Source organism: Homo sapiens, chromosome 1, assembly GCF_000001405.40.
Source record: "Homo sapiens chromosome 1, GRCh38.p14 Primary Assembly".
Lineage (NCBI taxonomy): Eukaryota > Metazoa > Chordata > Mammalia > Primates > Hominidae > Homo > Homo sapiens.
This window is the reverse complement of record NC_000001.11, coordinates 86,061,925-86,085,241: the sequence shown is the minus strand read 5'-3', so window position 1 is coordinate 86,085,241 and position 23,317 is coordinate 86,061,925. Positions and strand designations below refer to the sequence as shown.

At 37.5% G+C, this 23,317-nt stretch overlaps 1 protein-coding gene across 20 annotated transcripts in view; it reads left to right on the top strand.

The window, feature by feature from the left end:
* COL24A1 (collagen type XXIV alpha 1 chain) overlaps nucleotides 1-23,317 on the top strand; it is a 427,752-nt gene that overhangs the window by 71,743 nt on the left and 332,692 nt on the right. For all 20 annotated transcript variants that reach the window (NR_146340.2, NR_146341.2, NR_146342.2 and 17 more), the window contains one exon: nucleotides 21,483-21,527. Coding sequence is in view for 13 of the 20 variants with exons in the window: in XM_047417004.1 (XP_047272960.1) it covers nucleotides 21,483-21,527 (45 nt within the window). In the remaining 7 variants the exon portion in view is untranslated. The remainder of the gene's footprint in view (nucleotides 1-21,482; nucleotides 21,528-23,317) is intronic.

Below are 23,317 nucleotides of genomic sequence, written 5' to 3'. Positions count from 1 at the left end.
TTGGACAGGAATAAACAACCAAAAGCATCAAGTGGAATGCACTGTGACTTATCAGTCACCCCAAAAGTATGCAGTTCTTCATAAACTTTTTAAAGCAAGGATAGTACTAAGGAGCTATATTAATACTGAATATAGATAAGCACAATGACAAAAAAATCAGAGTTGGCATAAAAATCAGTGCCTGAAGAAAGATAATGGAGAATTCTACTGTTCTATAGCCAGCTCTATAGATCATCTCTCACTGGCTTATTATTCCTATAAAAATCTGCAGAGGTGTGTTTTACTTTGAGTTGCTTCCCAATTCAAGTGCAGTACTGAGTCTAATACAAATGCCGCTGCTTGGGGGTTGTGCTGCCACCACTGTTACCATCTCTGCAATCTGCCATTCCCACTAATGGTAGGGGAAGCTGAGAACAAGGTATCACAGTGCTGAACTCCCCAACAGGCAAGCCAGTGGTTGCCAAAGTGGCGTAGTTTTGGGGACTTTGAAAACTTCCCTGTGTCCAAAGATATTTCCCTCAGTCTGGCTCATATGATTGAAATTCCAACATTAATGACAAATTCATTTGGCTAAAAATATTTCAGTTTCCAGAAGTCTTTTAAAATATTTCTGTGTTCTTAGAATAAGCTGTTATCTGTGATTTAGCATCATTTCAAGAATTCATCTATCATACTGTTTTTCTGTGTGAGAGCTAGTTGAGAGATACTAGGGATCGATGGGACCAAGGAAAAAGCCAAGTACTACTTAAAGAGATTAGCAAGTCAATATTGTGAGAAATTTGGGACTAACATTGGCATGAGTCTGTTGTATGCCTGAGGGAAGTATGTTCTAAGTGAGAAGGTGGACAGAATAGAGAGGTTTGTGTTGTATTCATCCTATAATTTAAGTCTCCCAAAGTTCTCCAGCTATCTGGGATTATTCTTTTATTTAATGTTTTTTAGAAAAATAATTAAAATCTCTATTCTTAGAACATTAGGAAGTTTATGAACTTACCCCAAGAAGTGCTTACATTATTTTGGTTGTTGATTTTCATCTTGTTCTCAATTCTTGCTTAGGGATTCTTTTTTTGATAACTATACCATCCTATTTTATCACTATTTCTCAATTTTGCCATAGTTTTCTCTGGTTATTTTGGTCAAACCATGGTTATAGGCCTTTGTTGTATTCCTCAATGCATTGGTGACATGAGTCCTGTAATATTTGACAAACTTTACGAGAGAGTTGTAGTTACCTAATTTGTAGAATAAGGATATTACACTGCAGAGAAAGAAAATTTAATGTTGGCTTTTAGACAACAATGCAGTAACAGTGGCTAAGGGAAAATATATGGATTTAGGAAATATGGTATAAGTTGCTTAAGTATAATGTAAGGACTACATTTCATTCACTGTGGTATTGCAGTTCAGTGTCTGGCATGTAACAAGCACATATTATGAGTGAATGAATGAAAATGTTGCTCTTAAATTCAGTTTACTGTGCCCCTTCACCTTGGCTTGCTTCTCAAAGCACCACCTCCTCTCTGCTGTCTTATTTTCACTGATCCTCTGGCTCCAACCACCTATCATTTTATTTCAGGTTAGCTAAGTAGAACTAGTTAACCTGTTACTCATCACTCAGTGATGTTGCCTTTTACATGATTATGCGCGATTGTTAGTCCACCTTTGCCTCAGCTTCCCAAGACTAGACAGAGGCAAAAGATCCAGGAAAGTTGCCTCAAACAAAAGGGCAGTTTTCTTCCTCAGATAAATTCTGTAACTAACCCTAAAATTCTGCAGTTGTTTTAGTCACATCTTTTTGTCCTGAAATTTGTTCAGCAAACCACTATTATGTAAATGATATACATATATGATACAGAGTTGATATATATATATATCAACTATATATATGATATATATAGTTCCTGCCTTCAAGTAGGTTATTTATTTATATATATATATTTTTTTGAGACGGAGCCTCGCTCTGTCGCCCAGGCTGGAGTGCAGTGGTGCAATCTCGGCTCACTGCAAGCTCCGCCTTCTGAGTTCACGCCATTTTCCTGCCTCAGCCTCCCGAGTAGCTGGGACTACAGGCGCCCGCCACCACCCCTGGCTAATTTTTTTGTATTTTTAATAGAGACGGGGTTTCACCGTGTTAGCCAGAATGGTCTCGATTTCCTGACCTCATGATTCGCCCGCCTCGGCCTCCCAAAGTGCTGGGATTACAGGCGTGAGCCACCGTGCCCGGCCAGTTTACTGTCTTTAAAATTCAGACTGAGCATCCTAAATCTAAAAATTTGAAATCCGAAGTGCTCCAAAATCCGAATTATTTTGAGCGTCCACATGATGCTCAAAGGAAATGCTCACTGGGAGCATTTAAGATTTCAGATTTTCAGATTTGGGAGTCTCAAGTGGTATAATGCAAATGTTCCAAAATCTGAAAAATTTCAAAATCCAAAACACTCTGGTCCCAAGCATTTCAGGCAAGGGATATGTAACCTATACAAAAGTAAATCATTAAAGTATTATAATAAATTAATTATTATATATTATATAAATATGTAAATTGTATTTATGTATTATGTAAATATATAAATTATTACAGTATATATAAATATATGTTATATATTTATATAAATATATACAAATTATTATATTTATATATTACGTAAATAAATTATGCTATGGCAAGTGTGATTATGAAGATATGAAAGGATTATTATAGTACATAGTGGAGGTTCACATAAACTTCCTGGAGGTGAAAGGTGGATGGATACAGGAATCAGGGAAAGAGGTGACATCTAAGATGATTCTTGAGGATGAGCAGAAGTTATCCTAATGATACTGCACCTAGTGGACAAGTATGCTATCTACACATAGATAATGCATAAGCAAAGGCTGAGAGGTAAGAAGCACTTCTTTGTTCATGAATCATGAAGTGTGAGGGAGGAGGTGTCAAGAGATAAAGCTTGAGGAGTATTGAAGGACTAAATTATAAAGGGATTTATAGGCCATGTTAAAGCATGTAGAGTATATTATTATGTAGTAGAGAGGTACTACAGGATTGTAAGAAGGGGAGTGCCAGAGGCAAATCCTTTAGTCTCCAGAATTTCTTTAGCATTTTTATGAGTTCGAGAGATATGCTTCTACATTTCTGAAACCTAAAAGTTTGTGAAAGGAGGCTTATGATAGAGAGTGGGGGTGATTATACAGAAGCTGCCTTGTGCTATGTAGAATAGTTTCTCATATGTTGGAAAAGTCTTTATCCCCATGAATATAAGTTCTTCCCATTTAATGGGAGAAGAGGAAACTTTTAAAAGGAGCAAACCATTGATATATAAACTTAATAACATAAGGGCATTGAGAATAATTCTCAACATTATATAAATATGCAGGCAGTCCTTACTTTGTCTGGTTCCAATATACATATATTTTGGTTACCACAATTTAATTACATAGCGTCAGTTCCCGAACAACACAATTCATATTTCATTTGCCACAGTATATTAAGTATGATTAACTACATAAAGTACAGACTTTGCTACTGGCCCTTTAGTCCACAAATCACTACATAAGTAATGGAGTGCATCGTGACCAATTACCAGACAAGTCATTTCATTCAGTCTGTTGGTGATTCTTCAATCATGTACAGACAGTAAAGTTGCGTTGCTTCCTTGTTTTGCAGTGATAAACCTATGTGATATTTTACACAGATGAATAATCAAAAGAAGTATTAGCTAACAAAGATGAAAGAACAGCAAATAAAGGAGTAGTGATAACATAGGAATTTTAAAACAAATAGCTGGACATGAGACACTGCTGACATTTAAGATTCTACATATGCAGCCAGGGAAATTTATTGCAGGTGAACTTTTAGACATAAATGAGTAAAGTAGTAGTGATGAATAGGACAAGGATGTTCCAGAGGAAGTGACACTTTCAAAAAAAAAAAACTTCACATTAGAAGAATTCTTGGAAATATTTCATGACATTGAAAGTGCAAAGGATAAAATGTTGGGAATTGATCCATACTTAGAAGCGAGTATGACAATTTGCCAAGGCATAGGAAATATGCTTGCTTAGTGTGATAATTTAGACAACAACAAGAAGGCAAACACTTTCAAACTAATTTTGATAATTTTTTTCAAATAAATGATGCTTTAATTTCTAATGTTTTCAATTATACTGTGCTAAATTAATACTACTATAATTTTTTTATTTCCCCGTGCAACTATAACCAACAGTAAGAGAGTTTTTAACACTTTAACAAAAATATTTAAAGGTCATGGAACAATTGTAAATTTTCCCATTGGTTATTAAGATTGCATTGTACAATTTCAGCTTGCACAGTTATTTTTATGGTCCTATACTATAGTGCAAAGTGAGGAGGATCTGTGTATAAATGATACTACTGTTTTCCTTATGATTAAACATTTTATTTATATATTCAAATCTTAATTACTGGGAGTAGTTTGAAACTGATTTATTTTGTAACCACTAATATTTCTGATTTTGATTCAATTGTGTCTTTTTATTTGTCCTGTGTGGTAACGTATTGATAACATATTTTTAGGGCTCAAATTTTTGTTAACATATTTATTAAAATTGAAGTCTATATAAAATTAGATTATAGGCTTCATTTATTATTGGAATTCTTGCTGAGGCAATTTATTTATTTATTATTTTAATTTTGTAGGTACATAGTAAGTGTATATATTCATGGGGTGCATGACATATTTTGGTACAGGCTGCAATGCATACTGATCACATCATGGAAAATTGGATATCCATCCTCACAAACATTTATCCTGTGTGTTACAAACAATCCAATGATACTCTATTTATTTTAAATTATACAATTAAATTATTATTTACTATAGTTTCCCTGTTGTGCTAGCAAATACTAGGTTTTATTCATTCTTTGTAACTATTCTTTTGTACTCATTAACTATGCTCCCTTCCCTACCTCCGCCTGATCTCCTATTCCCCTCCCAGCCTCAAATAACCATCCTTCCATTGCCTGTCTCCATGAATTCAATTTTGTGATATTTAGATCCCACAGATAAGTGAGAACATGTGATGTTTGTCTTTCTGTGCCTGGCTTATTTCACTTAACCTAATGGCCTCCAGTTCCATCCATGCTGTTGCAAATGACAGAATCTCATTATTTTTTGTATGGCTGAATAGTACTCCATTGTGTATATGTACCACATTTTCTTTATCCATTCATCTGTTGATGGACACTTAGGTCACTTCCAAATCTTGGCTATTGTGAACAGTGCTGCAACAAACATGGGAGTGCAGATACCTCTTTGATACACTGATTTCTTTTCTTCTGGGTATATACCCAGTAGTGGGATTGCTAAATCCAGTGGTAGTTTTATTTTTACTTTTTTGAGGAACCTCCAAACTGTTTTCCATAATGGTTGTACTAATTTACCTTCCCATGAATAGTGTATGAGGATTCTCCTTTTTCCACATCCTCGCCAGCATTCTTTTGGATATAAGCCGTTTTAACTGGGGTAAGATTGTAGTTTGGATTTGCATTTCTTTGATGATCAATAATGTTGAGCACTTTTTTATATGCCTGTTTACCATTTCCTTGTCTCATTTTGAAAAATATCTGTTCAAATCTTTCGCCCATTTTTAATTGGATTACTTGATTAGTTGTTTGAGCACCTTCTACATTCTAGTTATTCATCTCTCATGAGATAGGTAGTTTGCAAATATTTTCTCCTATTTTCTGGGTTGTTTCTTCACTTTATTGATTGTTTCCTTTGCTGTGTAGAAACTTTTTAACTTGATGCAATCCCATTTGTTCATTTTTGCTTTGGCTGGCTGTGCTTGTGAGGTATTACTGAAGAAATCTTTGCCCAGACCAATGTCCTGGAGAGGTTCCCCAATATTTTCTTGTAGTAGTTTCATAGTTTGAGGTTTTAGATTTAAGTCTTTAATCTATTTTGAATTGATTTTTGTACAAGGCAAGAGATAGGGATCAAGTTTCATTATTCTACATATGGATATCCAGTTTCCCCAGCACAATTTATTGAAGAGTGTCTTTTCCTCAATGTCTGTTCTTGGCAACTTTGTCGAAAATGAGTTCACTGTAGGTGTGTGGATTTATTTCTGGGTTCTCTATTCTGTTACTTTTGTCTGTGTGTCTGTTTTTATGCTGGTACCATGCTGTTTTGGTTACTGTAGCTCTGCAGTATAATTTGAAATCAGGTAATGTGATTCCTCTAGTTTTGTTCTCTTTGCTTAGGATAGCTTTGGCTATTCTGGGTTTTTGTGGTTCCACATAAATTTTAGGATTGCTTTTTTCTATTTCTATGAAGAATATTACTGGTATTTTGATACAGATTGTATTGAATCTGTAGATTACTTTGGGCAGTACGGACATCTTAAAAATATTGATTCTTCCAATTCATGAACATGGAATACCTTTCCATTTTTTGGTGTCCTCTTCAATTTCTTTCATCAGTGTTTTATAGTTTTTATTATAGAGATCTTTTACTTATTTGGTTAATTCCTAGTTTATTTTATGTGTGGCTATTGTAAATGGGATTGCTTTTTAAATTTCTTTTTCCAATTGTTCATTATTGGCATATTGAAATCCTACTGATTTTTGTATGTTGATTTTGTATACTACAACTTAACTGAATTTGTTTACCAGTTCTAATAGGTTTTGTTTTGTTGGTGGAATCTTTAGGTTTTACCAGCTATAACTTCATATCATCTGCAAACAAGGATAATTTAGCTTCTTCCTTTCCAATTTGGATGCCCTTTATTTTTTTTCTGTTGTCTGATTGCTCTAGTTAAGATTTTCAGTACTATGTTGAATAACAGTGGAGAAAGTGGGCATCCTTGTCGTGTTCCAGATCTAATAGGAAAAGCTTTCAGTATTTTCCCATTCAGAATGATACTAGCTGTGGGTCTATCATATATGGCTTTTATTATGAAAAGGTATATTCCGTTTATATCCAGTTTTTGAGGGTATTTTTTTTACCAAGAAGGGGTGTTGAACTTTATCAAATGCCTTTTCAGCATTAATTGAAATGATAATATGGTTTTTGACCTTCATTCTGTTGATATGATATATCACAGTGATTGATTTGTGTGTGTTGAATCATCCTTGCATCCCTGAGATAAATCCCACTTGGTCATAATGAGTCATCTTTTTAATGTATTGTTGAATTCAGTTTGTGAGTATTTTGTTGAGGATTTTTGTATCAATATTTATCAGAGATATTGGCCTGCAGTTTTCTTTTTTTAATTTTTTTAAAATTATACTTTAAGTTCTGTGATACATGTGCAGAATGTGCAGGTTTGTTACATAGGTATACACGTGCCATAGTGGTTTGCACCCATCAACCTGTCATCTGCATTAGGTATTTCTCCTAATGCTAGCCCTCCCCAGCCCCCCAACCCCCACAGGCCCTGGTGTGTGATGTTCCCCTCCCTGTGTCCATGTGTTCTCATTGTTCAGCTCCCACTTTTGAGTGAGAACGTGCAGTGTTTTGTTTTCTGTTCCTGGGTTAGTTTGCTAAGAATGATGGTTTCCAGCTTCATCCATGTCCCTGCAAAGAACATGGACTCATCTTTTTTTATGGCTGCATACTATTCCATGGTGTATATGTGCCACATTTTCTTTATCCATTCTATCATTGATGGGCATTTGCGTTGGTTCCAAGTCTTTGCTATTGTGAATAGTGCTGCAATAAACATATGCGTGCATGTGTCTTTATAGTAGACTGATTTATAATCTTTTGGATATATACCCAGTAATGAGATTGCTGGGTCAAATGATATTTCTGGTTCTAGATCCTTGAGGAATTGCCACACTATCTTTCACAGTAGTTGAACTAATTTATACTCCAACCAACAGTGTAAAAGCTTTCCTGTTTCTCCACATCCTCTCCAGCATCTGTTGTTTCCTGGCTTTTTAATGATCACCATTCTAACTGGCATGAGATGGTATCTCATTGTGGTTTTGATTTGCATTTCTCTAATGACCATATGAGCTTTTTTTCATATGTGTGTTGGCTGCATAAATGTCTTCCTTTGAGAAGTCTCTGTTCATAGCCTTTGCCCACATTTTGATGGAGTTGTCTGTTTTCTTCTTGTGAATTTGTTTAAGTTTCTTGTAGATTCTGGATATTAGCCCTTTGTCAGATGGATAGATTGCAAAAATTTTCTCCTGTCCTGTAGGTTGCCTGTTCACTCTGATGATAGTTTCTTTTGCTGTGCAGAGCTCTTTAGTTTAATTAGATCCCATTTGTCAATTTTGGCTTTTGTTGGCATTGCTTTTGGTGTTTTAGTCATGAAGTCTTTGCCCATGCCTATGTCCAGAATGGTATTGCCTAGGCTTTCTTCTAGGACTTTTATGGTTTCAGGTCTAACATTTAAGTCTGTAATCCATCTTGAGTTAATTTTTGTATAAGGTGTAAGGAAGGGGTCTGGTTTCAGATTTCTGCATATGGCTAGCCAGTTTTCCCAACACCATTTATTAAATAGGGAATCTTTTCCCCATTGCTTGTTTTTGTCAGGTTTGTCAAAGATCAGCTGGTTGTAGATGTATGGTGTTACTTCTGAGGCCTCTGTTTTGGTTACTGTAGCCTTATAGTATAGTTTGAAGTCAGGTAGCGTGATGCCTCCAGCTTTGTTCTTTTGGCTTAGGGTTGTCTAGGCCATAGGGCTCTTTTTTGTTTCCATATGAAATTTAAAGTAGTTTTTTCTAATTCTGTGAAGAAAGTCAATGATAGCTTGAATGGGGATAGCATTGAATCTATAAATTACTTGGGACAGTATGGCCATTTTCATGATATTGATTCTTCCAATCCATGAGCATGGAATGTTTTTCCATTTGTTTGTGTTGTCTCTTATTTCCTTGAGCAGTGGTTTGTAGTTCTCCTTGAAGAGGTCCTTCACATCCCTTGTAAGTTGTATTCCTAGGTATTTTATTCTCTTTGTAGCAGTTGTGAATGGGAGTTCACTCATGATTTGGCTGTTTGTCTATTATTGGTGTATAGGAAAGTTTGTGATTTTTGCACAGTGATTTTGTATCCTGAGACTTTGCTGAAGCTGCTTATCAGCTTAAGGAGATTTGGGGCTGAGGTGATGGGGTTTTCTAAATATACAATCATGTCATCTGCAAACAGAGACAATTTGACTTCCTCTCTTCCTATTTGATTATGCTTTATTTCTTTCTCTTGCCTGATTTCCCTGGTCAGAACTTCTAATACTATGTTGAATAGAAGTGGTGAGAGAGGGCATCCTTGTTTTGTGCCGGTTTTCAAAGGGAATACTTCCAGCTTTTACTCATTCAGTATGATATTGGCTGTGGGTTTGTCATAAATAGCTCTTATTATTTTGAGATACATTCCATCAATATCTAGTTGACTGAGAGTTTTTAGCATGAAGGGCTGTTGAATTTTATTGAAGGCTTTTTCTGCCTCTATTGAGATAATCATGTGGTTTTTGTCATTGGTTCTGTTTATGTGATGGATTACGTTGATTGATTTGTGTATGTTGAACCAGTCTTGCATCCTAGGGATGAAGCTGACTTGATCATGGTGGATAAGCTTTTTGATGTGCTGCTGGATTCAGTTTGCAAGTATTTTTTTGAGTATTTTTGCATCAATATTCATCAAGGATATTGGCCTGAAATTTTCTTTTATTCTTGTGTCTCTGCCAGGTTTTGGTATCAGGATGATGCTGGCCTCATAAAATGAGTTAAGGAGGAGTCCCTCTTTTTCTATTGTTTGGAATAGTTTCAGAAGGAATGGTACCAGCTCCTCTTTGTACCTCTGTTACAATTCGGCTATGAATTCATCTGGTCCTGGGCTTTTTTTTAGTTGGTAGGCTATTAATAACTGCCTCAATTTCAGAACTCGTTATTGATCTATTCAGGGATTTGACTTCTTCCTAGTTTAGTCTTGGGAGGGTGTATGTGTCCAGGAATTTATCAATTTCTTCTAGATTTTCTAGTTTATTTGTGTAGAGGTGTTTATAGTATTCTCTGATGGTAGTTTGTATTTCTGTGGGATCGGTGATGATATCCCATTTACCATTTTTTATTGTGTCTATTTGATTCTTCTCTCTTTTCTTCTTTGTTAGTCTGGCTAGTGGTCTATCTATTTTGTTGATCTTTTTTTAGAAACCAGCTCCTAGATTCATTGATTTTTTGAAGAGTTTTTCGTGTCTCTATCTCCTTCAGTTCTTCTCTGATCTTAGTTATTTCTTGTCTTCTGCTAGCTTTTGACTTTGTTTGGTCTTGCATCTCTAGTTCTTTTAATTGTGAGGTTAGGGTGTTGATTTTAGATCTTTCCCTATAGCATTTAGTGCTATAAATTTCCCTCTAAACACTGCTTAACTGTGCTCCAGAGATTCTGTTACATTGTGTCTTTGTTCTCATTGGTTTCAAAGAACTTATTTATTTCTGCCTTAATTTTGTTATTTACCCAGTAGTCATTCAGGAGCAGGTTGTTCAGTTTCCATGTAGTCTGAGAGACTGTTTGTTATGATTTCTGTTCTTTTGCATTTGCTGAGGAGTGTTTTACTTCCAATTATGTGGTCAATTTTAGAACAAGTGTGATGTGGTGCTGAGAAGAATGTAGATTCTGTTGATTTGGGGTGCAGAGTTCTGTAGATGTCTATTATGTCTGCTTGGTCCAGAGCTGAGTTCAAGTCCTAAATATCCTTATTAATTTTCTGTCTCATTGATCTGTCTAATATTGACAGTGGGGTGTTAAAGTCTCCCACTATTACGGTGTGGGAGTCTAAGTCTCTTTGTAGATCTCTAAGAACTTGCTTTATGAATCCGGGTACTCCTGTATTGGGTGCATGTATATTTAGAAGTGTTAGCTCTTTTTTTGCATTGATCCCTTTACCATTATGCAATGCCCTTCTTTGTCTTTTTTGATCTTTGTTGGTTTAGTCTGTTTTACCAGAGACTAGGATTGCAACCCTTCCTTTTTTGATTTCATTTGCTAGGTAAATATTCCTCTATCCCTTTATTTTGAGCCTATGTGTGTCTTTGCACATGAGATTTGTCTCCTGAATACAGCACACCGATGGGTCTTGACTCTTTATCCAATTTGCCAGTCTGTGTCTTTTAATTGGGGCATTTAGCCCATTTACATTTAAGGTTAATATTGTTATGTGTGAATTTGATCCTGTCATTATGATGCTAGCTGGTTATTTTGCCCATTAATTGATGCAGTTTCTTTATGGTGTCAATGGTCTTTACAATTTGGTATGTTTTTGCAGTGGCTGGTACTGATTTTTCCTTTCCATATTTAATGCTCCCTCCTTGTAAGGCAGGCCTGGTGGTGACAAAATCTCTCACCATTTGCTTGTCTATAAAGGATTTTATTTATCCTTCATTTATGAAGCTTAGTTTGATTGGATATGAAATTCTGGGTTGAAAATTCTTTTCTTTAAGCATGCTGAATATTAGCCCCCACTCTCTTCTGTCTTGTAGGGTTTCCACTGAGAGATCTGCTGTTAGTCTGATGGGGTTCCCTTTGTGAGTAACCTGACCTTTCTCTCTGGCTGTCCTTAGCATTTTTTCCTTTATTTCAACCTTGGTGAATCTGACAATTATGTGCCTTGGGGTTGCTCTTCTCAAGGAGTATCATTGTGGTGTTCTCTGTATTTCCTGAATTTGAATGTTGGTCTGTCTTGCTAGGTTGGGGAAGTTCTGCATAATGTCCTGAAAAGTGTTTTCCAACTTGGTTGCATCTTCCCTGTCACTTTTAGGTACACCAATCAAACGTAGGTTTGGTCTTTTCACATAGTCCCATATTTCTTGGAGGCTTTGTTCATTCCTTTTCATTCTTTTTTCTCTAATCTTGTCTTCACGCTTTATTTCATTAAACTGATCTTCAATCTCTGATATCCTCTTTTGCTTGATTGGTTTGATTCTTGATACTGTCTATGCTTCACCAAGTTCTTGTGCTGTGTTTTTCAGCTCCATCAGGTCATTTATGTTCTTCTCTAAACTGGTTAATCCAGTTAGCAATTCCTCTAACCTTTTTTCAAGGTTCTTAGCTTCCTTGCATTAGGTTAGAACATGCTCCTTTAGCTTGGAGGAGTTTGTTATTACCCACCTTCTGAAGCCTCCTTCTGTCAGTTTGTCAAACTCATTCTCCATCCAGTTTTGTTCACTTGCTGGCGAGGAGTTGTGATCCTCTGGAGAAGAGGCGTTCTGGTTTTCGGAATTTTCTGCCCTTTTGCACTGGTTTTTCCTGATCTTTGTGGATTTATCTACCTTTGGTCTTTGATGTTGGTGACCTTCAGATGGAGTTTTTGTGTGGACATCCTTTTTGTTGGTTTTGATGCTATTTCTTTCTGTTTGTTAGTTTTCCTTCTAACAGTCAGATCCCTCTGCTGCGGGTTTGCTGGAGGTCCACTCCAGACCCTGTTTGCCTGGGTATCACCAGTGAAGGCTGCAGAACAGCAAAGATTGCTGCCTGCTCCTTCCTCTGGAAGCTTTGTCCCAGAGGGGCACCCACTAGATGCCAGCTGGAGCTATCCTGTATGAGGTGTCTGTCGACCCCTGCTGGGAGGTGTCTCCCAATCACGAGGCACGGGGGTCAGGGACCCACTTGAGGAGGCAGTCTATCCCTTAGTAGAGCTCGAGTGCTGTGCTGGGAGATCCGTTGCTCTCTTCTGAGCCAGGAGGCAGGAATGTTTAAGTCTGCTGAAGCTGCACCCACAGCCACCCCTTCCCCCAGGTGCTCTGACCCAGGGAGTTTTATCTATAAGTCCCTGACTGGGGCTGCTGCCTTTCTTTCAGAGATGCCCTGCGCAGAGAGGAGGAATCTAAAGAGGCAGTCTGGCAATAGCAGCTTTCACCCAGTTTTAACATCCTGGCAGCTTTGTTTACACTGTGAGGGGAAAACCACCTACTCAAGCCTCAGTAATGGTGGACACCCCTCTCCCCACCAAGCTCAAGCATCCCAGGTCGATATCAGACTGCTGTGCTGGCAGCAAGAATTTCAAGCCAGTGGATTTTAGCTTCATGGGCTCTGTGGGGGTGGAATCCACTGAACTAGACCACTTGGCTCCCTGGCTTCAGCCTCCTTTCCAGGGGAGTGAACAGTTCTGTCTCACTGGCGTTCCAGGTGCCACTGGGGTATGAAAAAAATTCCTGCAGCTAGCTCGTTGTCTCCCCAAATGGCCGCCCAGTTTTGTGCTTGAAACCCAGGCCCTTGGTGGTGTAGGCGTCCGAGGGAATCTCCTGGTCTGCAGGTTTCACAGACCGTGGGAAAAGCATAGTATCTTGGCTGGATAGCTCTGTCCCACAAGGCATAGTCCCTCATGGCTTCCCTTGGCTAGGGGAGGGAGTTCCCTGACCCTTTGCTCTTCCTGGGTGAGGCAACACCCCACCCTGCTTCTGCTTGCCCTCCATGGGCTGCACCCACTGACTAACCAGTCCCAGTCTTGCTGAAAGTGGAGGTATTGAAGTCTCCAGCAATTATTGTAGTAGGGTCTATCTCTCTCTTTAGCTCCAGTAATGTTTTCTTTATTTATCTGGGTGCTTTAGTGCATATATATTTACAATCATTGTATCCTCTCACTGAATTGACCCCTTTGTTATAATATAATGACCTTTGTCTCATCTTATAGTTTTTGTTTGGAAATCTGTTTTGTCTGATATAAGTATAGCTATTCTTGCTCTTTTTTCGTTTCCATTGGCATGGAATATCTTTTTTTATCCCTTTATTTTCAGTCTATGTGTATATAGGTGAAGTGTGTTTCTTATAGGCAAAGATCATTGGAACTTGTTTTTTCATTCATTCAGCCACTCTATGTCTTTTGATTGGAGAGGTTAGTCCATTTACATTCAATGTTATTATTGATAAATAGAGACTTATTCCTGCCATTTTGTTATTTGTTTTCTGGTTGTTTTGTGGTCTTCTCTTCCTTCTTTCCTCCATTCCAGTTTTTCATTTAGTGAAGGTGATTTTTATCTAGTAGTATGCTTTGATTTCTTGCTTTTTATTTGTTATGTATCTGTTGTATGTTTTTTTGGTTTGAGGTTACCATGAGGCTTGCAAATACTATCTTATATCCCATTATTTTAAACTGATGACAGCTTAATGCTGATTGCATAAACCAAAAAACATGTAAAAAGAAAACTGATAAAAACTCTATGCCTTAACTTCATTTCCCCATTTTTAAACTTTTTGTTGTTTTTCTTTGTCTTTTTATACTGTCTATGTCTTGTAAAGTTGTAGTTATTATTTTTTATTGGTTTTTCATTTAATCTTTCCACTTAATTCAAGAGAAGTTTACACACCACCATTACAGTGCTATATTAGCCTGTGTTTTTCTGTGTACCTACTATTTCCAGTGAGTTTTGTACCTTCAGATGGTTTCTTCTTGCTCAGTAACATTCTTTTTTTTTTCTGATTGAATGACTCCCTTTAGCATTTTTTGTAGGACAGGTCTGGTGTTGATGGAATCCATTAACTTTTGTTTGTCTAGGAAAGTCTATTTCTCCTTCATGCTTAAAGCCTATTTTTGCTGGATATACCATTCTAGGGTAAAAGTTTTTTTCCTTCAGCACTTTAAATATGTCATGCCACTCTCTCCTGGCCTGTATGGTTTCCACTGTGAAGTCTGCTGCCAGATGTATTTCCGCTCCATAGTATGTTATTTGTTTCTTTTCTTTCACTGCTTTTAGGATCATGTTTTAATCTTTGACATTTGAGGGTTTGATTATTAAATACCTTGAGGTAGTCTTTTTAGGTTAAATCTGCTTGGTGATCTATAACCTTCTTGTACTTGAATCTTGATATCTTTCTCTAGGTTTGGGGAGTTCTCTGATATTATCCCTTTCAATAAACTTTCTACCCCTATCTCTTTCTCTACTTCCTCTTTAAGGCCAATAACTCTCAGATTTTCCCTTTTGAGGCTGTTTTCCATCTTGTAGGTGTGCTTCATTGTTTTTTATTCTGTTTTCTTTTGTCTCCTCTGACTGTGTTTTGTCAAATAGCCTGTCTTCAAGCTCACTAAGTCTTTCATTTGCTTGATCAATTCTGCTTTTAAAGGACTCTGATACATTCTTCAGCATTCAGTTGTATTTTTCAACTGTGGAATTTCTGCTTGAGTCTTTTTAATTATTTCTATCTCTTTGTTAAATTTTTCTGACAGCATTCTGAATTCCTTCTTTGTGTTATCTTGAATTTCTTTGGGTTTCCTCAAAACAGCTATTTTGAATTCTCTGTTTGAAAGGTCATATTTCTCTGTTTCTCAAGAATTGGCCCCGTGCCTTATTTAGTTCATTTGGTGAGATCATGTTTTTGTGGTGGTGTTGTTACTTGTAGATGTTCATTGGTGTTTGGGCATTGAAGAGTTAGGTATTTGTTGTAGTCTTCATAGTCTGGGCTTGTTTGTGCCTGTCCTTCTTGGGAAGGCTTTCCAAGTGTTTGAAGGGACTTGGGCCCCAAGCCCAATATCGCTGTGGTTTTTGTAGAGGTACTGCCTTGGTGGTCTTACATAAAATCTGAAAGAATTCTCTGGATTACCAAGCAGAGATTCTTGTTCTTTTCTCTTAATTTCTTCTAAACAAATGGAGTCTCTCCTCTCTCTCTCTCTCTTTGCTGGGCCAGCTGGAACTGTGGGTGTGGAGATACAGGCACCCTGTGGCCGTCACCACTGGAACTGTGCTGGGTCAGACATGAGCTACTGGGCCTCACCCAAAGCCCTTCCCTTCATAGTGATGAGTTTTCCCCAGGCCCAGGGTGTGTCCAAGGATGCTGTGTGGGAGCCAGTGATTGAAGTCAAAGACATTAGCAACTTACCTGCTGTTCTACTCTACTATGGCTAAACTCCCATTCAAACCATAATACAGAGTCCTTCCTACTCTTTCCAGCAATTTCCCCAGGCAGATGAGTCCTTCCCTGTGGCCACCACCACTAGTCCATGGGGGTTTCTGCTAGGCTTTCACCAATGTTTACTTAAAGGCCAAGGGCTCTCTTCCATCAGCTTGTGTTGAATGCTGCCAGGACTGTGACTCATCCTTCAGCACAGTAGGGACGGTCCAGAAATGCTGTGTAAGATCCTAGTCCTGGTCTCAAGGACCCCAAGAGCCTGCTAATTGCCCTACCCTACTGTGGCCAAGCTGGTACATAGGGTGCAAGACAAAATCCCGTCTCTTTTTCCCTTTGCTTTTCTCAAACAAAAGGAGTCTTTCACTGTGACCACCACAGCTGGAATGTACTGGACCACCCCTGAAGGCCAGCATGTTTCAGAGCCCAAGGCCCACAGCACACTCACTGGGTATCATTGGTGGTTATTCAGGGCCCAAGGGCTCTTTGGTCAACAGGTGATGAATCCTGCCAGTACTAGACCCTTCCCTTCAAAGCAGGAAGTTCCCTTTTGACCCAGAGTGCATCTAGAAATGTTATCCCAGAGCTAGGGCCTCAAATGGGGGCCTCACGTCTCTGCTTGGTGCTCTATTACACTGTGGCTGAGCTGGTATCCAAGATGCCAAACAAAGTCCTCTTTACTCTTCACTCTTCTCTCCTTATGCAGAAGGGAAGAGTCACTTTCCTTGTTATGAGCTGCACTGCCTGGGCTTAGGGAAGGAATGGTGCTCACACTCCATTAGCCATGCCAGCTGTTGTCTCCTTAGTTCACATTCCACCCTAGTTCACTGGCTGTAAGCCCAGCCTAGCACTAGGAATAGCCTAGGATTTGCAGTTGTCGTGTCCTAGACAGCCTTTGAAGTTTACCTAGGACCCCAGAGTACTTCAGCCCATGGTGGTAAGGCTTGCCAAGAAACTCAAGTTCCTTGAGGATGTGCGATTCCCTTCTGGCTAGGGCTGGTCCAAATCCTCCCGCTGTGCCAGGGAAGCACTGAGTTCAATGTAAAGTTTCCCAGTCACTGGGCTTTCCCTTCCTAGAGTGCACAGATTCTCTCTCCACACTGCAGGGCTGCTGCCAGGGGAGATGGGGGAGGGGTGGCATTCACTATTTAAGACTGTATCTCTTGTCCTCCTCAGTGCCTCTTTCCACAATATGAAGTTAAAACCAGGTACTGTGATTGCTCTTGCTCACCTGATTTTTGCTTCTTGTGACTGTGGTTTTCTGTGTGTGGATAGTTGTTAAAATTTGATGTTCCAGTGTTGGAGAGGGGACGAATAGCGTAAGCTTCTATTTTGCCATCTTGCTCTGCCCTCCTTTGTAAACTGATTTTATATTACAACAAAAATTAAAGACAATTCTGTAATTCATTGTAATGTGTTTTAAATCTGAATTGAAACAATTTGTAAATTTTCCTATTGTCATTCCTTAAGGAATGTATTCAGTTTTCAGAATGCTAATCAGAGAAAAATCATATGCTAGTTATGGAAACTTTTTTGTTATTCTTCCTGTATGAGTATAGAAAATAATGACTCAAATACTAGTTTTTAAAATAAAATCCCTAGATTGGAGCTATGCCAAAGCTTGCATGTAGGCAGTTTTCCAAGGAATGTATCCCCTTTGCTTTTAAAAACTTTACAGACTAGTTTTTAAGTAGAAAATAAATGAGGCATATGGGAATAAATGAAAGTCTTTATATAATAGTGGAGATAACTTCAGTATATTACAAATATATATTTTAAAATAACAAAAAGGAAGTCTTTATTCTATTTATCACCTTTCATTTCAACATTCGGATAATAGAGTTACCATATTAAATACATAGAATCTATTTTCTACCTAAGTGATTCTTAAATTCATCCAAGTCTTTTCATTCACTCATCCATTCATTCATTCATCCATCCATGTCTGTCCACCAGTTAATTAATAAGCAACAACTATGTACCAGGCACTGGGGACACCACAGTGAGTACAGTAACTTAAATTAAGCTTAAGCTTTTTCAAGGGCTTAGGTATCATTTTTACTCTACTATCCTAGGCTAACTTATAATTATCTTTGACCTAGACTGTCATACTAGCCTCCTACCCAACCCACTCTCTTCCATTTTGCCCACTCCAGAGTCCCATCTTTGTTTTAGAGCATTAAAGAAGTGCCCCGTGGGAGCCTGATATGTCCACTGACCTTACGTGAATTCTTCCTTCCTATGTCTCCAAGCCTGAAGTAACTCTTTTTTTTTTTTTCTTCTTTTTTGAGATGGAGTCTTGCTCTGTCACCCAGGCTAGAGTGCAGTGGCGCAATCTCGGCTCACTGCAACCTCTGCCTCCTGGGTTCAAGCAATTCTCCTGTCTCAGCCTCCCAAGTAGCTGGGATTACAGGAAAACGCCACCACACCTGGCTAATTTTTTTGTATTTTTAATAGAGACGGGTTTCATCATGTTGGCCAGGCTGGTCTGGAACTACTGACCTCAGATGATCCACCTGCCTCTGCCTCCCAAAGTGCTGGGATTACAGGCGTGAGCCATTGCGCCCGGCCTTCCTGAAGTAACTCATATCTGCTTTGTTTTTTATTCAGTGACAGCTACATTGAAAAAAGTAGTTACTTTCTGATAGATTCCAGTATTCACAGGATTTAAGCAATAAAAAATTAGCAATAATTTAATTGAATGCTGTCATTTTACAAAATAAGACATTGAGGTTCACAATATGGCTAGTTTGTGGTAAAACTGGATCTAGAACAGATCAAGATGGCTTGATCTGTTCATTGTTATTATCAGTAAAGCAAACAAACAAAAATTGCTTTACTTAGGCTCTTCGGATTGCGTAGAAAGGGGACTTAGGATATTTTAGCAGGGCGCAGTGGCTCACGCCTGTAATCCCAGCACTTTGGGAGGCCGAGGCGGGCAGATCACGAGGTCAGGAGATCGAGACCGTCCTGGCTAACACAGTGAAACCCCATCTCTACTAAAAATACAGGAAAAAAAAAATAGCCGGGCATGGTGGCGGGCGCCTGAAGTCCCAGCTACTCCGGAGGCTGAGGCAGGAGAATGGCGCGAACCCGGGAGGCGGAGCTTGCAGTGAGCCGAGATCGTGCCACTGCACTCCAGCCTGAGGGATAGAGCGAGACTCTGCCTCAAAAAAAAAAAAAAAAAAAAAAAAAGGAGACTTAGGATATTTCAAGGAAAAGAGTGAGTTATTTCAATCCTGTCTGCAGCAATAAGGAAACAGGGATCCCATGGAATCTAAAACTAGGTACTGTAATATGACTTGGTCTGACATACACACTGATTCAAAGCAGCTTATCTTAGCAGCATTAGTTTGTGAATCTTTTGTTGTACTTTTCTACCAGTGCTTATCTACTTTCTCTGCATCTGCTTTTTTGTGTTATCTTGTCCTCTGACAACTGTCTTAACATAATTTCAATTTTAATTTTTGTGTATACTTTGGCTTCCTGTAGCATCTCAGCGACCCTACTCTTCCTCTTAGTCTTTCTTTGTGAATCTTTCCAGCTCCCTCCTACCCCCACTGTTAAGTACTTGCATTTTTCTATTGTTGTTGTTTTAATCAACTTCATTTTTTTAAAAAAGAGATTTTTATTGGCCCAGCTTGTCTCTCTCTTTTTTTTTTTTTTTTTTAGAGGTTGCTATATTGCTCAGACTGGACTTTAGCTCCTGGGCTCAAGCAACCCTCCCACCTCAGCATCTTGAGTAGCTGGACTACAGGAATGCCATTTGCCTGGCCCAGCTTGTTTTTATTTAAATAAAACTCTTTATTCCAAGTCATTTTATAGGCTACTGGCCTGACTTATATTGTCCTCCCTTAGATTAACTGTCAAGTCCTGGGGCTGAGGTGGGGAAGGAGTAAGTTCATAAAAAACAGATCATGACTGCATGGTGCTGCCACCTTGTCAGGGTCTCTGAATGAAGAAGAATCCCTTTAAAGAGAAGTGTGCATAAAAAAGATACCATGATTAACATATATACACATAGTTCACTATTATGGAGTGATTTGGGGAAAATAAGCTAAAATAAAATTGTGCCACGATTGCATTTTGTTTCATTATAGGCTAGGGAGGAAACTAACTCTGATCTGAAAAACAGGTGTTGGCCAAAGAAAATCAAGCATGTAGCTAGGCTCAAGGATTCACAGAATTTAAAATAAGTAAATAAATAAACACACACTTTAAAAAAATAGGAAAAGGAAATAGGCTCATGGCAGAGTCTCTGTAACCTATGAGCCTCCTACCCTGGCTCTTTATTTGTCATCCTCCAGGAAACTTCCAGCTCACACCCTCCTAGAGCTGCTGCCTCATCCCAGGGAGCCACCACCACTGTCTTAGCGCTGAGGATGTTTCTTATCTCCTGTTGTAAAAAGTGAAAAAACTTAGCTTTGTGGATATTTTTACTTGTGGAATTTTGTGTAAACATTTGGGCAACTGAGCACAATATGTAATATGTTATGTAATTAGGCTAATCTTGAACTCCCTTTAAAAATGTAAAAACAGTTAAACTGTTTTAAGTTTAACATCGCAAAAGCTGTTGAAATCATTCCTTTAGTTTTCAAATAGGCACCTCTTCTAAATGACGTTTTTCAACCAAAGCGTCATTCCCTTCTCTAATCCATTAATCCGAATTCATCTCTTCTGATAAACCCTCAGTGATTAATACTGAGTAATTCTTTCACTCCATTAGGCTATATTCTGAAACCCAGGAAATTTGTCTTTAGTTTGCAGTATATTAATTGGAAATTTTTGATATTCATAAACTATGATTTATTTCAGGCTTTTGAATTATATTTTAAGTCCTTAAGAAAAGGAATTTCTTTTGTTCTTTATATGCACCAAAATCCTTTGGTAAACAGTAGATCAAACCACTGATTTTTATGTAGAACTGTACAAATAAGCTCCAAAATTTTTCTTTATTTCATTCTTGCCATCCTTTCTTTTAGTTTCCTTCATTTTGCTCCTATATCTTTCTTGAGGAAGAAGGATATTGTCTGTTTTATAGCTTTGGGTGTTAATTTATAGAGATTAAGATTTTCTTTTGCTTCTATTATTTGGAAAATATTCTTTGTTACTAATTCCCTAGACAACTTTATAGAACCCCTTTTGATGAACCTGTAAGCAGCCTCATGATTTTTTGAGTTACCTCATTCATGGGGTGTTATGACAATGATTTGGGTTAGAGGAACTGCCTGGATATGATCCAGTTTTTCAATAATTACAAACAGATTATGTCTGAGGCCATTTGTCTTAGCACTATTCAACTAAAACTAACTTTTTAAAAGCTTCAGCAAACTTAACATATCCATTGCTAGATATGAGCCTTTTATAAAAGATACTGTGCTTTAGTCTCTATTCAGTACTATGCTACCATTTTAGTTGATAATAACAAGTCATTAAAATAACATGCAAGATTAAATTATTAATAAGAATTAATTTTTTATTTAATAAAAAAGTAATTCTTATTAAATAAAGAAGATTAAATTTAATAAGAAATAAATTAGTAACAATTAAATTTGTATTGATGAGGCAACCAAAAGTTGGGATATAAGGCAACTTGCAACCTATGTTTCGTTATTTGGCTTATATGAGTTTACTTTTCATAGCATGTCTCCACTTATTCTTTTACAGGGTCTCAAAGGACATCCTGGACTCCCAGGACTTCCAGGTGAACAAGTAGGTACTTCCTTTATAAGACTTGTATCATGTGTGAAAAAGACACATGTTAGAGAACTCCTTTGAGAGATTATTTTCCCCCATTTTTTCAATTTTTCTTCTCAGTGATTTTTTACTCTGTTTAGTGCAGGACAACCTTTTAATTGATTAGCTGTAGATCTTTTTATTTAAAAAACTATAACATAATATTTCACTGTTAATCATTTTTTACTTTTGCCCCATATGTTTCAGACTAGTAGCTCTTAAACTTCTGTAGTTCACAGACCCCTTTGAGAGTCTCATAAATACTATGAATCCTTTCCCAGAAAATATACATATCCATACACATACAAACACACACACACACACACACACAGAGAGAGAGACTTAATTTTTTTTGTACAATGTCAGGAACTTACCAGTTCACTAAAGCCTAATCCATAGCTGTTTGTTCCCTGACCTTTTCCTGAGGAAATGCAAATAAATTTCAATAACAGTCCAAATTAGAATGGTACATATATCATTGTCCATAATACACATACACAATATTTAAAAGTCAAAATAGTTTTGGAACTATTTAGTTTTTGATCATGTTATTGCTTTTCTCTCATCAGAAAATAATATATCATTATGTCACAGAAAAAAATAAAGTCATATGTCTTATGGTGTGTACTATATTGAAAATATAATATGAATATAACAGTGAAAAGGGTAAGATATTAGAAACTGACTAAGGTGATGGATACCGTTATTAAAGAATCAGCACAGAGACTCAGGAAACCCTAAAGGGAGATCCAGGAAGAAATGTGATGGTTGGTACCTGAGGGAAAGCTATAAATGAAGAAACAAAGCCAATTTTCCCTTTCATTCATGTTAAGTTAGACAGTACACTCTGTTCAGTCCCTGAAGCACAACTTTTCAAGATTGCTAATTACTAGACATGGCAAGCGAAGTGATATATGTATCTCTAACACATGTAATATCAGTTTCCTGCAAATCAAACATGTACTGAAAAGCATTTGAGCATTTATGGGAGAAAAAGATGAGAAGGGTGAGTGGGATTAGTCCCTGGGGAGAAAAAAATTGTAGGTTACTGCTTTGGCAGAAACGTGGATTCCAATGGAGGAAACCTGATACTTCACAAGTGAAAAATTGGCCATGTGTCATTACTGACGAGTTCACTCAAAACTGCTCCATAAACTAGTACTGGTGGTGTATATATTATCTCTGAGGGTAATATACTTTTTAGAACAGTCTAAAACCAATTTTAAAGGTTAGAAAATGTATATTGTAGTCAGTTCTTCCTTTCTATTCTATTTGTTTCCAGAAAAAAAAAACAGGCAAAATTTGTGTTAACTATGAGAAACAGCTAAAATAATTTTGCATTTTAATTGTGAAAATACTGTGGACATTCAGAGGAGCATAGCTGACTTGCTGGAAGACATTTGTCTTGAAAATTTGTAAATATCTTCAAATTGTTCAGCAAACATTTGGAAAGGCAATTATATTATTTATGTGAGCTCTAGTAATAAGAGCTGTCATTTACTTACAGCCCTTATTATTTGCCAAACTATATTACTATTAACTACAACTTCTAGTAGTATAATTATTCAGTTTTACATATGTTAATTAACTTAATGTCACCAATACTAAGAGTTATTACAGTTACTTCCACTTTTAAATATATTTCTACGCATTGTTCTATTTTATCCACAAAATGAGTGCTGTTATTCTATTTTACTAATGAAAAAACAGAGAAACTATAGTAGCAGTGCTGGAGCAGTGCCGGAATTCTGAATGAAGTCTAACTG